The 18,259-nt window shown below is 45.1% G+C and overlaps 2 protein-coding genes across 7 annotated transcripts in view, besides 1 other annotated feature; both read left to right on the plus strand.

Moving 5' to 3' along the window:
* PDZD2 (PDZ domain containing 2) overlaps positions 1-18,259 on the plus strand; it is a 471,802-nt gene that overhangs the window by 271,785 nt on the left and 181,758 nt on the right. The window lies entirely within an intron of this gene.
* Positions 12,040-12,539: an enhancer, noted in NCBI's record as "H3K4me1 hESC enhancer chr5:31923061-31923560 (GRCh37/hg19 assembly coordinates)". NCBI's record gives its function as "activates a minimal SCP1, AML or CMV promoter by ChIP-STARR-seq in primed H9 embryonic stem cells {active_cell/tissue: H9 hESC(primed)}" and the evidence as "EXISTENCE:reporter gene assay evidence [ECO:0000049][PMID:30033119]".
* On the plus strand, positions 12,382-12,824 carry LOC107986346 (mitochondrial import receptor subunit TOM7 homolog). The gene has a single exon (XM_047417968.1). It carries the CDS (start codon positions 12,452-12,454, stop codon positions 12,617-12,619), a length of 168 nt encoding a protein of 55 aa, XP_047273924.1. The 5' UTR covers positions 12,382-12,451; the 3' UTR covers positions 12,620-12,824.

Consider the following 18,259-nt stretch of genomic DNA (forward strand, 5'->3'; position numbering starts at 1 on the left):
TTAAATTTAATATTAAATTGATTTCCCCCCTTTATTTTAAACCAGTTCTGTTTAAGCATCTAAAATTCCCATTGATATGAGATAATTGTGTCTTCTCCCAATAGTAATTTGTCATCCAAATTAATATAATTGAAAGAGGTTCATAATATAATTTGTACAGACTCAAATATGTAACAACTTCCTCTTTTATAATAATGTTAGAGAAGAGAAAATATAACCTTATATTTTGACATGTATGGTATGTAAGCCAAATCAATTTGTGATGATTTGATGGGATAGTTACACTATTTCTGAAACAACTGCTGGTCACTAGGCACTGTACTAGGCTGTTGACATATTACCTATTTTCTCTGAAACTCTATAAGGAAAGTAGCATTGTTCTAGTTTTGTAGATGAATCAATTCAGGCTCAGATAATATGAGAAACTTGTCCAGCACAATACAGAGCCTGGGGCAGTAGAGTTGAGACTCACCCTTTGTGGAGCCATCGCTAAAGCTTCTGTTCTGTGGATGCCACCATGTGGCTTCACTGGGCATACAGAACTGGGTTCAGAAGCCCCTGACTTGGAGCACGTGGCCACTGCATCGCCCCTGTCAGCTGACTCCTACAGTCCTTCCCGCTTCCTTTCGTTTCTCTGTTTTCTTGCCGAGTCTGGCAGGACTTCTGGCTGCAAACAACAGAAATTCCTGTAGCTAGTTTAAGCAGAAAGGGATGTGTTAACGGTTGTTGGTTAGGTGGTTCACAGAAGTTCTGGGAAGAACCAAGAATCAGGCTTGGATGTGATGGAGCCAGGAAAAGAGCCAAACCATACCATGAGTCTGTTCTAGCAGAAAAATCATGCTGCCTCCGCTGGCTGCTGAGTCCCCAGGAGCTGAGGGGATGAATGCCAGGACTGCGCTTCTCTTCTGCCATGCTCCTCAGAAGGCCTGGATCACAATGGGTGACCCTTGCCGCCTCTGTCACTCACACTGCATCCAGGTTATACTGGGATGCTTCTGATTGGTAGAAATAAGCTCACACGCCTGCAACTCTGGCTGCAATGGGGTATGGTTGTTTCACATTTTCTGCTAAATGGGGATTGAGTGAATCAGTCTACAGTGTCTGCCGTACTTAATCCACCCTGGCCCCGGCCCCAGCCCCAGCCCCAGCCTTGGCTCTACTACACAAAAGACCAGACAGTGTCTTAGTCCATTTGGTCTACTATAACAAATACCATAAATGAGACGGCTTATAAGTAACAAACTTATTTCCCATAGTCTAGAGGCTGGGAAGTCCAAGATCCAGGTATTAGCTGATTCAGTGTCTGGTGAGGGTCTGCTTTCTGGTTCATAGACGGTGCCTTCTTGCTGGGTCTTCATATGGTGGAAGAGGCCAGGCAGTTCTCTAGGGTATCTTTCATAAGGACACTAATCCCACTCATGAGCGCTCCTCTTTCATGACCTTATCGCTTCCCAAAGGCCCCACCTCCTAATATCATACCTTGGAGGCTGAGATGGGCCTCCCAAAATTTGTATGCTAAAATCCTAACCCCCAAGGGGGTTCCTCCAATTTTGGAGGAACACAAAGATTCAGACCATAGCAGATGGGTGTCCCATTTGTGCCTCATTCTCTAGTGCTTTGGTGGATACAGACTGAATTGATTGACATTTCTGTGCTTGTCTAAGTGTAACCAAACCCCGCAATTGACACGCTAGAGAAGGTTCGCCTTGTTCTGTTTCTCCTCCTGTAGCCGATATGGCTAACAGTGGGACTAACGTGAGGGTCCAAAATGAAAAAACAGCTCAACCACTCAAAGGAAACCCACTCCATGGAGGTGTCTCTCTAGCATGATGGTACTTTCTGAAATTATGTTTTGTTTTAGTGGAGGAAGGCTTTCTTCTGAAGTCTGGTATACTATTTGGAGTTCATAGGGTGAGGAACATAACCTTCCATTCCCACGTTTCTCTCTGAAGTTCGGGCTTTCATCTGCTGGGTCCCACATGCTGAGTGCAAGGATAACAAATGTACCCAGTGAACAAAAGTTTAGCGTCTTTTTTTATATGAAAAACATTGCATCCTTCTTTTAGGGTACAGGTTTTCAGTTGCCTTTGAGAAAAGCATCACATGTAGGCCCAAGATCTGAAAATAAAGGAGACTTGAAGAAAATACTGTTGATTAGAAGAATAGTATCAGGCCAGATGTGGTGGCTCATGCTTGTAATCCCAGCACTTTGGAAGGCTGAGGCGGGTGGATTGCTTGAGGTCAGGAGTTCAAGACCAGCCTGGCCAATATGGCAAAACCCTGGGCGTGGTGGCACATGCCTGTAGTCCCAGCCACTCAGGAGGCTGAGGCACAACAATTGCTTGAACCTGGGAGGTAGAGGTTGCAGTGAGCTGAGATCATGCCCCTGCACTCCAGCCTGGACGACAGAGTGAAACTTCCTTGGGGAAAAAAAAAAAAAGAATAGTATCAAAGGGAAAGAAACACAAAGCTAAGATTTAGCCCATGGTCTGCATTACTGAGGACTTCAGGCAAATTGAATTCATATCTCTGATTAATTATCTAGTTTGTACAATTGAAAAATACGAAGGCTAAGACCCTAAGAGTTACTATATGAAATGTACAAACTCTGGATGCAGTGTCTGATTCATACTATTATAATGTTAACTTCTGGGCATTTCTAGAAGCCATGAACCTACTGGGTGGGGCTGTTCGTCATGGCTCTTGCTGCCAGTGTGGGTTTCTGTCTTTCTTAGTGTGGTAATCGCATGGATAGTTGAAATCATCAGGTGAATAAGCAGGTCAAAGTTGAAGGGGGAAAAACCAAATCTGTTTCTTTAACACCATTGTTCACTATGGCCGGGGTTTAGAGCTTACACAATATTAGAAGTAGAGTCGTGAAGGATTTTAGTTTGCATTTTTCTGGTAATCTTGAAGTCTTGATTTTGCCAGAGGCTTGCAATTTATGTATTAATTTTCCTTCAGGTTCATTTAGCAGCAAGCGGAGGAACATTTGCATTTTAACTGTGTCATTCTCCAACCTCTCCCCTACCCCCAGCACACACTCTCTACTGCTAAAAGCTAGAGCCAGATGTCACTCCCTGCCTCTGGGTGACAGGAATGTCAGTGTCTGTAACTCTTCAGTGGCTACCAACCCAACTACAGTGTGCCCCAATGAACTTTTCCAGTGCCATGTGATCCCAGAATTAAACAGCTAATGAAATTCTCTGCTCAAGTGGCACATGCCTACACGGCTCCAAAACATTAAAACTTGGAGGTTTTTTCAAAATTAAAATGACTAAATAAAGTTTATTGCATTGTCATTCCAGTAAGTCATACTCAAGATTCTGATCCTGGCCGGGCGCGGTGGCTCACGCCCGTAATCCCAATACTTTGGGGGGCTGAGGCGGGTGGATCACGAGGTCAGGAGTTCAAGACCAGCCTGGCCAAGACAGTGAAACCCCGTCTCTACTAAAAATACAAAAATCAGCCAGGCATGGTGGTGGGCACCTTAATCTCAGCTACTCGGGAGGCTGAGGCAGAGAATTGCTTGAACCCAGGAGGCGGAGGTTGCAGTGAGCCGAGATTGCACCACTGCACTCCAGCCTGGGTGACAGAGTGAGACTCCATCTCAAAAACAGAAAAAAAAGATTCTGATCCTAACACAGGGATCTCATTTTGAAAAGGAAAAATTTAGGAGTAGATAGAACATGTCTCAGAGGACAACTTTGAAACTTTCAGAGGACAGATGTCAATGTGAGAAAGGGTACTCCAATGAAATCTGGTGCCATTGCTAGTGCCATTTTCTTAGATGATGAAACGGAGACAATAATTCAGTGACAAAGACTGTTTTTGTTCCAGGTGGTGTTCTATTGAAATTGAGGCTATGCTGTGTATAGGACCACTTCTTAACACAGAATTGACATAGAAAGCTGGTGAAGCAAACCTAAATTCAGGCTTAGCAGCCGCAGTAATTCTGACATGTGCTCATACAGGAGTGGAGGTAGCATGAAATATTTACAGTGAGCCTGGCGGGGACTAGTGTATACAGAGGTTAAGTTCAGCAAAATGTAGGGGGTGGGGAAAGCCTGAAGTGGTGAAAACGTGTACCTAGTTGTCCCTGTGAGAGAGGCAAAGTTTTGGAGTTGAATTCCTATTTCTTTTAGAAGCTGTAGGGGGTCTTCATTGGATACCGTTACTTTCTAAACAGAGTATGTTGGGTGTTTCCAGAACTGTGCAATGCTGCAAAGGAATACTGGGACCAGATGCCACCTACCCTCCTGATGCCTACTTTCCAATTGGAGAAGCATCCCTCACTTGAAATCCCCACGTTATTAGATTGCCGCTGTGACATCCAGGCAAAAAAATGATGAGCCCGTGGCATCTACACTTGGCCCTTCCTATCAGATTCAGCCTCGTGGCCCCCAGATTCTGCTCATTCCTCAGTTAACCAGTTATGGACCTTCTGTGCTAGGGGCTGTTCTCCACAGAGACAGCAAACCCTGAGGCCAGGAGTCTCCTCTATTCCTTGCTACTTGTCCTCTGGGCTCTTGACTGAAAGAACCATCTTTGTCTTGCGTCCAGACATTTCAGCCTAGAAGCAGGCAAACTCTCCAGGAAAGCCCTGCTGTGTCCCCAGGAGAAGGGCATTTCTGGGTTTGGGAGAAAACACCCTGAAGGCGGGCAAGCTTACCATTTGCTCTATATACAGGCCAGAGAGTTTCAAAGACCCAGGGCCCAGGATGTGAGAGAAGGGAATTCTGATTTGTGTGTATGTGTTAATTTTTTTTTCAAACACTTAACTCTTCGTAGAGACAAATATTACTCTTTTCAGGTCTGTTTTTGAAAAACAGATGAAAGGACCAGTAGTATGTAGACAGGTTAATATCCACTTGGCCTTTCTATCTGAGCCCAGTCTTGATTTCATTCTGTCCATGGGGAAAAACTTCCTTTTTACAGTGTACCTACAGAGCGGAGCTTTGTTCCGAAATCTTTTATTGGGAGCCTTTTGTTTTTAAGAATTTATTGGAGATTGGCTTGGCAGGGACTCCAAGTGTCAGCTTATATGTGTGTTGGGGGGACAGTGGGAGAGAGAATGTTGGATAGGGGCCCCATATGTGTTCCTGATGATTGTAGGTGCTCATAAAGTCTAAAGACTGAATCTGTAGAGGGTAAACAACTGTTTTTTGTTTGTTTTGTTTTGTTTTTAACGCTGGAATTTATTTTTCCATCTTGTTTTTTCTCCCAGACATTTTCTAGCTGCAGAACACTGTGTTTACAAAATAAAAAGCCTTCATCATTAGTCCATCCTGGAAGAAGGCATTGGTGTCTGTGTTGGTGGCTTTGGTTGCCCTGCCCGGAGCAGGCTCATCTCCCTCGGTGTCATTCAGAGACAGTTGGCTGTATCCAAGGGTTGCCTTCCCTACTTCAGTTGCATTGCGTAGAGCAGGCTCAACCCCTCCAGGGGAGGGTGCCCTTGCGTACCCACAGTCAGGTGTAGAGGCCTGGTTCTACTCCCACTGGGTCCCCGATTGCCCTTGAGCAAGGGTTGAATGACAGTGCCTGTTCATCTTTTTGTTGCCTCATACCCGGAGCGCTGGCTGTCCCAGCCCAGCAAGTGAGGCCAGGTGAGTTAGGTGTGGTGTTCTTATGCCTTCTGGCACCTTCTGATGTCCCAATTCAGGTGCATCTATTTTTAGATTGGGCTTGCCCTGGCTCGAGTGTCACTTTTGCAAGACTGTGACGTTGCACGTGTTCAGCTGTTTTCTTCATGGATCCCTGGGTGTTCCTGATTCTCTTTGGAGGCCTTGTGCTCTGCATAGAGCCAGTACAAAACCTCCTTGCATAGCTGTTCCTGGGCAAGGGCATTTCATCTAGCTAGAGGTAAAAATTAGTGTCCAGATGCCTGGGGAAGGGAGGGGGCTTACAGGCTTGATGGGACAGTTCACTTGAGTGAGTGTGAGCCTCCTACCAGCATCCTTCTGGTTTTAGTGAGAGCCCTGTGCTAACTGTCATCATGACAGGCCCAGTTTGTGTGAAACTGTTTATAAACTCCATAAAACCATGTGCAAATGTGGGGAACTTAGGCTGGCATGAGTGGAAGGAGGTTGATGAGGGACAGGCACTACCTCTTAAACAAGGGTGGGGACACAGTATCTTGCCACACAAGATGGAGGAAACCAGATGGAGCTGGCAAGGAAAACAGGGTGAGCCAGTTGAAGTGTTTAGTGGCCACATTCAGGAGTTTGCACTGGATCCAGAAAACCCTTGGGAGCCACAGGATTGGGACGATTATTGCATCTGACACTTGTCAGAGAATATTGTAAACTTGTGGCCAAGGAGAGTTAAGAAGGAAATAAAAAGTGAGATCTGGATGGGTGCAGTGGCTCACGTCTATAATCCCAGCACTTTGGGAGGCCAAGGTGGGAGGATTGCTTGAGGCCAGCCTGGGCAACATGGCAAAACCCTGTTGCTACAAAAAATACAGAACTTACCCTGCCATGGGTGCCTGCAGTCCCAGCTACTGAGGAGGCTGAGGCAGGAGCATCACTTGAGCCCAGGAGGTTGAGGCTGCAGTGAGCCATGTTCACACCACTGCACTCCAGCTTGGGTGACAGAGTGAGACCCTTTCTCAAAAATAAACATTAAATATCCCTTTCCATTGAAGGATGTATAGAAATAAAGAAATTCTGGAAGGATTTCCCAAGAGCTCAGAGTAGAGGTGCCTGTGAGACTTGTATTAGTCTGTTCTCACACTACTCTAAAGACATACCTGAAGCTGGGTAATTTATAAAGAAAAGAGGTTTAATTGGCCCACAGTTCTGCAGGCTGTACAGGCTTCTGGTTTTTTTATTTTTATTTTTTAGAGACAGAGTCTTCGCTCTGTCGCCCAGGCTGGAGTGCAATGGCGCGATCTCGGCTCACTGCAGCCTCTGCCTCCCAGGTTCAATCAATTCTGTCTCAGCCTCCTGAGTAGATGGGACTACAGGCGTGTGCCCCTACACCCAGCTAATTTTGTATTTTTAGTAGAGATGGAGTTTCACCAAGTTGGCCAGGCTGGTCTCAAACTCGTGACCTCAGGTGAGCCACCGTGCCCGGCCAGGCTTCTGCTTCTGGGGAGGCCTCAGGACACTTACAGTCATGGCAGAAGGTGAAGGGGAAGCAGGCACATCTTAAATGGCCGGAACAGGAGCCAGAGAGCAAGGGGAGAGGTGCCTCACACTTTTAAACAACCAGATTTCATGAGAACTCACTATCATGAGAAGAGCAAGGGGGAGATCCACCCCCATGATCCTGTCACCTCCCACCAGGTCCCTCCTCCAACAATGGGGATTAAAATTTACATAAGATTTGGGCGGGGACACAAATCCAAACCATATCAAGACTGAAGAGGAGTCCCTTGGGGAAAGGAAAGGCACTGAGCTGGGTGAAAGGTCACTGGCATGTTCCATTGGAAATGTCAATTCCTTACATATGACACAGAACCAACTAGGGTGAACAGAGTTCCTGGGATTGAAAAGTGAAGATAGAGAAAGAACCATCTGGAAATCATTCATGGGCATCATTTTGGGCATTTCAGAATTCTCCTTTGAGGTTTATTATAGTCAGCAAATGGAAAGGACAGAAAAAGACACCTGGTGTTCTGACTGTCTCAGGGATAACCTTTCTTTTTAAGTAGTATGGTTAATCATGCTAGTTTAAGCTTCTCTTTTGATTTTTAGGGTAGCCTTAATCATTACAATTCTTTTATCTTCCATTAGACTTGGCTCATCCCTAGCCAGGAAATAATTTGGAAAATAAAAAAGATGAAGGTTACAGTGCTCCTGAGGAGGGAAGTGCAGTTCCCTCCTGAGTGGACCCCCAAGATCTCATTGATGGCACCGGCACTTAGCCAGCAAGATGACCAGGAGGCTTTTCTGTGCTACTCCAAGAGTGGGTGTTTTGTGTAGCTTTTCCAGGGGAATCCTGGGTGGCATGTGGTTCCTGGCTTCCTGCTCTTGTCAAGTAACTAGTGGCCTGATTGGAGCTGGCAGCCCCTTTGGGAACCGCTGAGTGCTGACTTCTGAGTCTTTCACCACGGCTGTGCACTGAGCTCTCTGTTTTCATTTCCCACTTTCCCCTTTGTCACTTTCAATTACACCAGGACAAGCTATGTATAATTTGGTTAGTGATGTAAATAAGCCAAAACAGCAGAAAGATTGAAATGTGAAGAAACTGGTGGAGGAGTGAGTAGGTTTTACTGGAGAGTCGCTGTAACCACAGCTTGACAAATGCCCACTGTGGCCGGCACTGAGATGATCTAAAGCACTGTCTCTTGATTTTAGCAAAACCTCTGCAGCTACATTGCACATTTTCATATGAGGAAACTGAGGCATTGAAAGATTCAGTTATTATTCATATGGCTAGTGAGCAGGAATGCTAAGTTTAGCCCCATAGTTGTTTAACTGAAGCTCATTGTCTTGTCTTTTTTTTTTTTTTGAGACGGAGTCTCGCCTAGGCTAGAGTGCGGCGGTACGATCTTGGCTCACTGCACCCTCTGTCTCCCAGGTTCAAGCGATTCTCCTGCCTCAGCCTCCCTAGTAGCTAGGATTACAGGCACACGCCACCACGCCCAGCTAATTTTTGTATTTTTGGTAGAGACAGGGTTTCACCATGTTGGCCAGGCTGGTCTCAAACTCCTGACCTCAGGTGATCTGCCTGCCTCGGCAACCCAGAGTGCTGGGATTCAGGTGTGAGCCACAGCGCCCGGCCGTCTCTCTCTTAAGACTTAATTTTTTTAGAGCAGTTTTAAGTTCAAAGCAAAATTGATAAAGAAAAAAAAAAGGAAAAAAAAAAAGGCCAGGCACAGTGGCTCACACCTGTAATCCGGGTTATCGGGGAGAATGAGACAGGAAGATCACTTGAGGCCAGGAGTTTGAGACCAGCCACCTGGGAAATATAGTAAAACCTGTCTCTAAAAAACAATTTTTTTTTTTATGAACCAGGCGTGGTGGTGTGTGCCTGTAGTTTCGGCTGCCTGGGAGGATGAGGCAGGAGGACTGCTTGAGCCAAGGTCTTTGAGGCTGCAGTGAGCTATGACTGTGCCACTGCATTCTGGCCTGGGTGACAGAGCAAGACCTAGCCTTTTAAGTTTTTTCTGGCCAGGGGTTTTGGGAGGCTAAAGTGGCCTTCTTGAGCTCAGTAGTTCGAGACCAGCCTGGGCAACGTGACAAAACCACGTCTCTACCAGAAATACAAAAGTTAGCCAGGCATAGTGGCACGCACCTATAATCCCAGCTACTCGGGGGGCTAAGGTGGGAGAATTGCTGGATCCCAGGAAGTTGAGGCTATAGTGGGCTATGAGCGCGCCACTGCACTCCAGCCTTGGTAACAGAGTGAGACCCGGTTTCAAAAATAAATAAAAATAAATAAATAAATAATTTTTTCTGAGCGAAAGATAGAGATTTCCTATATATCTCCTTTTCCCACACATGTACAGCCTCCCCCATGATCAACGCCCCCCCCCCCCACTGGGGTGGTGCATTTGTTAAAATTGATGAACCTCCATTGACATCTTATAATCACCCAATGTCCACAGTGTACATTAGGGTTCGCTCTTGGTGTTATATATTTAAAAAAAAAAAAAAAAAAGTCCAGGCACTCTGGCTTACACCTGTAATCTGGGCTATAGGGAAGACTGAGACAGGAAGATCACTTGAGGCCAGGAATTTGAGACCAGCCTGGGAAATATAGTAAAACCTGTCTCTAAAAAACAATTTTTTTTTTAAACGAACCAGGCGTGGTGGTGTGTATAATGACACACCAAATGTATAATGACATGTATCCATCATTATCATACAGAGAAGTTTCACTGCCCTAAAAATCCTCTGTGCCCATTTTTCCCTTTTTCCCTCCAACACTTGGCACCCAGGGATCTTCTTACTGTCTCCATAATTTTGCCGTTTCCAGAATGTCATATAGTTGGAATCATACCACAGATGGCCCCTTCAGATTGGCTGCTTTCACTTAGTAACATGCCTTTAAGTTTCCTTCATGTCTTCGTTCCTTAGTAGCTCATTTCTTTTCAGTGTCATGTAATACTCCGTTGTCTGCGTGTGCCGCGGTTTATCTAGTCACTTACTCAAGGACATCTTGGTCATTTCCAAGTTTTGGCAATTATGAATGAAGCTGCTGTAAACATCTGTGTGCTCACTGTCTTTTCACAAAACATTCTGTCCCCCTTAAGAGGTTTCATGGAGGACTCACTTAGATCCTCTGTGACAAACGGGACATGGTCAAAGCCTGGTGCCAGAGAAGAAAGAACATAGGATTTGTTATCAGGCAGATCTGATTTGGTTGGGAATTTGAATCCCAACTCTCCTCCATCTGTGATTTAAAATCCTCAATATTCTCTGCCATTAATGTACAGTGCTCTATGAAGCATTTAGCCTTCTGTGGGCACGCTGAAATTCATGTGTGAACTATGCTCAAATGGTTGTACAGGTAAAAAAAAACTTGAAGCTCTTAAGGCCGGGTGCAGTGGCTCACGCCTGTAATCCCAGCACTTCGGGAGGCCAAGGCAAGTGGATCACTTGAGCTTAGGAGTTCGAGACCAGCCTAGGCAGCATAGTGAAACCCTGTCTCTTCCAAAAATACAAAAAAAAAAATTAGCTGGGTGTGCTGGTCTGCCCCTGCGGTCCCGGGTACTCAGGAGGCTGAGGCAGGAGGATCGCTTGAGCTTGTGAGGCAGAAGTTGCAGTGAACCAAGATTGTGCCACTGCACTCCCACCTGGGTGACAGAGTGAGACCCCATCTCAAAAAAAAAATTTTTTTTTTGAAGCTCTTGAGCCGAATATCTTTTCTTACAGAGTCTGATATTCTTGCTACTTAGATTATGAAGGCTTTTTGCAAACTTTTTTTCATAGGTCATAGAAAATTTAAGCTTTAGTTGGTCAGTGCTGGGAGGATTACACTTTCTTAGTTAAATACAAACCAGAGAGGCTTTGCCCTAGTGCCCGCCCTCCTCTGAGGTACTAGAAGTACTAGAAGTTCCACACTTTGGCTGTTGTTGTTACTACCAGAATTTGCATTGTTACAGGCCAGCCAGCCACATTCTTGTGTCTTTTGTTTTCAAACTGTTTTAGATAGAGTTTAAGACCTGGAAGTCACCATTGCCTGATTCCCATGGGAAATCTCCTCCAATTATTTAGAGAAAATTCTTCTTGTGGGAAAAAAAAGGGGAAACAAATAACTGATTGTTTAGAGGCTCATAGAAAGAAATTTCCATATATGACCCAACTTCCTTGCCAATGTTTCGGAAAGCTGTGGTTTTGTGAGTCAAGTTCCTACTACCACAGAATGGACGTAATTCCAAGAGAGGATTCTTCATGGTAAAGATGAGAAATACCTTGAAAGTACAGCTCTGAGCCCAAACATGTCATTGAGCGTAATGTGGTTTTTGATAGATTTCTTCCCTCCACAGGCTACGCTCTTAATCTTCCCCACTTGAATAAGAAAGACTTATATGTATATTTTTTTTATCATAATGGAGACTTAGTAAGCTTAAGGGTCTGTTTTTTGTTTTTGTTTTGTTTTTAAGAGGAATTATTTTGAGATCTGGAAATTACACCCTGAATGCAGTAAATTTTTAAAACTGAGCATCACTGGGAACTGAACGTTGCTACTGTTAAGCTTATGGAAGAGCAGAGGGAGACAAGGAAGGAAGGGGTTGATTAGCCACGGTAACTACTCTGAAAGACACACCTTTCCAGTTCAAAGAAGCTTCACTAGCCTTTTGTTTTGTTTTGTTTTTTGAGATGGAGTCTTACTCTGTCTACCAGGCTGGAGGGCAGTGGCTTGATCTGGGTTTGCTGTAACCTCTGCCCCGCCCCCCCCTCCGGGCTCAAGTGACTCTCCTGCCTCAGCCTCCTGAGTAGCTGGGACCGTAGGCATGCACCTCCAGGCCCAGCCGATTTTTGTATTTTTAGTTAGACATGGGATTTTACCATGTTGGCCAGGCTGGTCTTGAACTCCTGACCTCTAGCAATCCACCCACCTTGACCTCGCAAAGTGCTGGCATTATAGCCCCTGAGCCACCACGCCCAGCTCTTCACTAGCCCTTCAAAAATGCGCTTGCAGGCCGGGCGTGGTGGCTCATGCCTGAAATCCCAGCACTTTGGGAGGCCGAGGCAGGTGGATCACCTGAGGTCAGGAGTTCAAGACCAGCCTGGCCAACATGGTGAAACCCCCGTCTATACTAAAAATGCAAAAAATTAGCCAGGCTTGGTGGTGGGCACCTGTAATCCCAGCTACTCAGGGGGCAGAGGTTGCAGTGAGCTGAGATCGTGCCATTGCACTCCAGCCTGGGCAACAAGAGTGAAACTCCATCTCAATAAATAAATAGATAAGTAAAAATAAAAATAACTTCTCCCTTTCGGATTCCCGATGCGGTGGTTGCTGTAAGGGGTCCTCCCTGTGCCACACGGCCATCGCCATGGTGAAGCTGAGCAAAGAGGCCAAGCAGAGACTGCAGCAGCTCTTCAACGGGGGCCAGTTTGCCATCCACTTGGGCTTTATCCCTCTTGTGATTTACCTGGGATTTAAGAGGGGTGCAGATCCTGGAATGTCTGAACCAACTGTTCTGAGCCTACTTTGGGGATAAAGGATTATTTGGTCTTCTGGATTTGGAGGCAATCAGTGGACAGCATGAAAGATGTGTGCTCTGGCTCGGATAAGAGATGGGACATCATTCAGTCACTAGTTGGATGGCACAAGGCTCTTCACAGATGAACCTGTAGCAGAGTGGAACTTGTACTAACTTATGATAGAATGTATCAGAATAAATGTTTTTAACAATGTTAAAAAAATAAAAATAAAATACACTTGCAGTAAGTCACAGTGGCATGGGGTATTTGTTGAATGCACACTCTGTACAGGTGCCTGGACAAGCACAACATCAGTGACTGCCCTTGACCACTTCGGCACACTGGTGAGAGTCAAGCTTCAAGCTTATTCCCCTGTCAAATGAGAAGAACACTAGAGTCGTGTCTCCTGCTTCTGACCCACCTGGGCTGCACCTCCACACTCGGTGGCGTTAAGATGCACCACACTCAGGGGAGTCATTAGGGAGGAAACAGCCACATCGCCTTGAGTTTCTGAAAACCAAATGAATGGCAGTGCTTTCACTGACAATGACAATTCAGTGCAGTAAAGATAAAATACAAAGAGTTGGAGCTTCCAAACTCTCCCCACAGTTCCAAGCTCTCCCCACAGTCTTAGTGGAATTGCGATGGGCCTTTGGTCTGCTGGTCCAGTTAATATGCTCCAAGTAGCATAGGCAGCAGTCTGAACCCAAACCCACTTGGCTGCCGTCCTTCCCAGAATGCCTGTTCCGCAAGCCTGCCATTTGGCTTGTTCTCCCTGCTGTGCGGTGCCAATTAGGTGGACTGTGCTAGAATGTAATTGTCTCCAGGTACAGCTACTGTGAGGAGTAGCCCACTTTCCTTTTGTCCATGATGGGGAGAAGCTTGGAACTTGGGCCAATGTCAAGAGTAAGAAACCAGCTTTGAGGCTTTCCTGAAGACGCACTTCTTCTGAAAAATCGCTCCTGATTCCCCCAGCCCATGGTGATAGGTCCCTGTGGAAACGCTGGAGTCCTCACTGCCTTTATCCATCACTTCACGTTTGGCGTGTGTTGCCTCGTAGTGGTGGGAATCTTTTCATCTGGATACTCTTCATCTTCCCAGCAAGTTTATGTGGCGCATGTGCTTAGAGGAGACGCTTGTTAATTATTTGTCTGATTCTGGTCTTGAGACGTAGCCAATCTCATGGACACCAGCAGGATCATACCCCAAAGATTTAGAGAAATATCTTTAGGGATTCTTAGCAAAATTGATTTCTTAGAGCTCCCAGAGCCTTGAGGCATTAGACAGAATTCTTGAGCTGAAATTGGCTGGTGATATTGGCCCAGAAAATTCCTTATTCCTTCTGCCTAGTAGAGTGTGTGTTGTCACCAACACTTGGAGCCTGTGCCTGAGGGTCTTCATGTTTGTGGCAGGATTCCTGGGAATAAGTTCAAGTCCTGGTGGAGCTGGATTGAGTTTCCAAAACCAAAATTGTCTCCATTTCTGTGAAGAAAGAAACTACCCCTAACTCAAAGGATTGATTGGACTGACAAGCCAGGCTGGAAAATTGGGACTGAACAGTTATCTATGTCCTGCAATGACCGGCAGGAGGGCCTAAGGGGCTAAGGAGGCACAAATGCCTTTAAGTGAGGCCATGGAAAGTCATCCTAAGTAAAAAGAACAAAGTCAGAAGCATCACATTACCTGCCTTCAGACTATACATAAGTCTATAATAACTAAAACAGCACGGTACTGGTACGAAAACAGGCACACAAACCAATGGAACAAAATAGAGAACCCAGAAATAAAGCCACACATCTATAGCCGTCTGATCTTCCACAAAGTTAACAAAAAAAAAATGAGGAAAGGACTGTCTGTTTAATAAATGGTGCTGGGATATCTGGTTAGCCATATGCAGAAGAATGAAACTGGACCCCTACCTTTTACCATCTTCAAAAATTAACTCATCATGGACTAAAGATTTAAATGTAAGACCTCAAACAGTAAGAATCCTAGAAGAAAACCTAGGAAACATCATTCTGGACATCGGCCTTGGAAAAGAATTGATGGCTAAGTCCTCAAAAGCAGACACAACAAAAACAAAAATTGACAAGTAAGACCTAAGTAAAGAGCTTTTGCACAGCAAAAGAAATTATCCACAGAGTAAACAGACAACCCACGGAATGGGATAAAATATTTGCAAACTCTGTTTCCAACAAAGGTCTAATACTAGAATCTATAAGAAACTTAAACTAGCCAACAAGCAAAAAAAAAAAAGATAACCCATTTACAAAGTGGGCCAAAGACAGGAAAAGACATTTCTCAGGGAAGACATACAAGTGGCCAGCAAACATGAAAAAATGCTCAACATTGCTTATCACCAGAAAAGTGCAAATTAAAACCACCATGAGATACCATCTCACACCAATGGCAGTTATTTATGAAGTCAAGTGCCTCATGCCTATAATCCTAGCATTTTTTGGAGGCTGAGGTGGGAGGATCATTTGAGGCCAAGAGTTCAAGACCAGCCTAGGAAACGCATAGCAAGACCCTGTCTCGACAGAAAGTAAAAAAAATTAGCCAGGCATAGTGGCATGTTCCTATAATCCAGCTACTTAGGAAGCTGTGGCAGGGGATCCCTTGAGCCCAGGAGTTTGAAGCTGAAGAGAGCTATGATTGTGCCACTGTGCCCCAGCCTGGGCAACGGAGCAAGACCCTGTCACTTAAAAAAAAAAAAAAATTAAAAGCCAGGCCAGGCATGATGGCTCACGCCTGTAATCCCAGCACTTTGGAAGGCTGAGGCGGGCGGATCACCTGAGGTCAGGAGTTCGAGACCAGCGGCCAACATGGCAAAACCCCATCTCTACTAAAAATACAAAATTAGCCAGGCGTGGTGGTGCAAGCCTGTACTCCCGGCTACTCCAGAGGCTGAGGCAGGAGAATTGCTTGGACCCGGGAGGCAGGGGTTGCAGTGAGCCGAGATGGCACCACTGCACTCCAGCCTGGGCAACAAGGTAGAAACTGCATCTGAAAAAAAAAAAAAAAAAAAGAAAATTAAAAGCTAAAAAATAACAGACGCTGGGGAGGCTTTGGAGAAAAGTGAATGCTTATACACTGTTGGTGTGAATGTAAGTTAGTTTGACCACTGTGGAAAGCTGTTTGGAGATTTCTCAAAGAACTTAAAACAGAACTACCATTCAACCCAGCAATTCTATACTAGGTATATACCTGAAAGAAAACAAATCATCCTGTCAAAAAGACACATGCACTTGTATGTTCATCTCAGCACTAGTCACAATGGCAAAGCCATGGAATGAACCTATGTGCCCATTAATGCTAGATTGGATAAACAAAGTGTGATATATATATACACCATGAAATACGACACAGTCATAAAAAAAATGAAATCATGTCTTTTGCAGCAACATGGACGCGGCTGGAGGCCATCATCCTAAGCAAATTAACACAGGAACAGAAAACTAAATACCGCATATTATTCTCACAAGTGGGAGCTAAACATTGGGTATTCATAGACATAAATATGGCAACAATAGATGCTGGAGACTACTAGAGGGGGTCAGGGCCCAGGGTTGAAAAACGTAACTATTGGGTACCATGCTTAGTACCTGGGTGACAGGATCAGTTGTACTCTATACCTCAGCATCATACAATATACCCAGGTAACCAACCGGCATATATACCCCTGGATCTAAAACAAAAGTAGAAATTTTAAAAAATTAAATGTAAAATAATAAAACATAGTACCATGTTGCATCATGGGAGAGAAAAAAAGTGAGGGCAGGGCTGGTCCAGCTCTTTCTGGTAGAATGTGTCTGATTGTTTGGTAGTCATAAAAACCTTCTGCTACTTTCTTTTTTGGGTGTTTTTTTGTTTGTTTGTTTGTTTGAGACAGTGTCTCACTCTGTCACCCAGGCTGGAGTGCAGTGGCACTATCTCGCTCACTGCAGCCTTCGCCTCCCAGGCTCAAGTGATTCTCCTGCTTCAGCCTCCCGAGTAGCTGGGATTACAGGTGCCTGCTACCACACCCAGCTAATTTTTGTATTTTTTAGTAGAGACGGGGTTTCACCATGTTGGCCAGGCTGGTCTTAAACTCCTGAGCTCAGGTGGTCCACCTGCCTTAGCCTCCCAAAGTGCTGGGATTACAAGCATGATCCACCGCACCTGGCCTCCTGCTACTTTGAAGTTAGACTCTCCTTGCCCGAAGTGACTGGCCCTTTTCCATCTAGCTCCAGAAGATCTATGCTTATCTTTTTCAATGGACCTAATAGTCATTAATGGACCTTGATTCTATAAACTAGCCAGAGGTGACCCATGGGCCTAAGAGATGTGTGTCCTTGTCTAGGACCCAAGTCACTGGGCCACACCGACATGCACTTGCTCTCCAGCTATACCCCCATTTCACAGGGTGACTCATTGCCTTCCTCCATCTTCACCAAGATGGCTCCTTCTTGAAGAAAACCAGGCCATTTCAGTATGCCTACCCTCACTGAGAATATGTAAGGAGGAAAGAACAGGTCTCTGCCTGAGGGATGGGGACTGAGTTAGGATGAGCTGGGACTTCTCTGCACACAAATGGAAGTTTAAACTGAGATGGCCCTCTGCTGAAGGGGAGTGCAAATCAGACAGCCAAGGAGAGTGCTTGAGTATTTCACAAAGTCTTCAAAGCACTGCTTCCCTAAATATTAAAATATTTCACTATAAAAAGATGGGGTGGGAACCATTTGATAAAGTAAGATTTGGTCACACCAGTTAAAGGAATAGCTAGTAAACACTTCTGCTGACCTCAGGTGATCCACCTGCCTTGGCCTCTCAAGGTGCTGGTAAATACTTCTCAAACCCATTTGACCACAGAGTTAAGGAGCATTCTTTCATAGAGCATCTCCTTCTTTCATAGAGCATTTCCCAAAATATAGAATGTATTTTTGGAAAAACTAGATTAAGGTCATTAGAAAAATTACAAAGAATTTTTTTTTTTTGAGTCAGAGTCTTGCTCTGTCATCCAGGCTGGAGTGCAATGGCTCGATCTTGGCTCACTGCAACCTCCGCCTCCCAGGTTCAAGGGGTTCTCCTGCCTCAGCCTCCTGAGTAGCTGGGATTACAGGCATGTGCCACCACACCTGGCTAATTTTTGTATTTTTAGTAGAGATGGGGTTTCACCATGTTGGCCAAGCTGGTCTTGAACTCCTGACCCCAGATGATCCACCTCGACTTCCCAAAGTGTTGGGATTACAGGCCTGAGCCACGATGCCGGGCCAAGAAAAGAACCCTTGAAAAGAAAATTCAGAAGCACAGGAAAACTTTATCAAGGATCTGAGTTGAGAGTTTTGCCCTATGTTTCCATTTACTTACCAGAACTTAGGAGTATGCTGGACTCTGAAAGGAGATATAAGAGGGAATATTAAGGATCTAAGTTGAGAGTTTTGCCCTATTTTTCCATTTACTTACTAGAACTTAGGAGTATGCTGGGCTCTGAAAGGAGATTTAAGAGGGAACTTTTCAATGAATATTGATCCATACTTGCAATGAAATAAGTACCAGAAACAAACTGTCCCCCACCCTTGCTTGGGAGCCTCGTAGAAGCTGTGACCCATCCACCTGCTGCATGGCTGTGCTCAGCGTCGTGGAGTTTTGAATCTGAATGCTTTAGAAAGGGCATG

Source organism: Homo sapiens, chromosome 5 (genome assembly GCF_000001405.40).
Source record: "Homo sapiens chromosome 5, GRCh38.p14 Primary Assembly".
Taxonomy (NCBI): domain Eukaryota; kingdom Metazoa; phylum Chordata; class Mammalia; order Primates; family Hominidae; genus Homo; species Homo sapiens.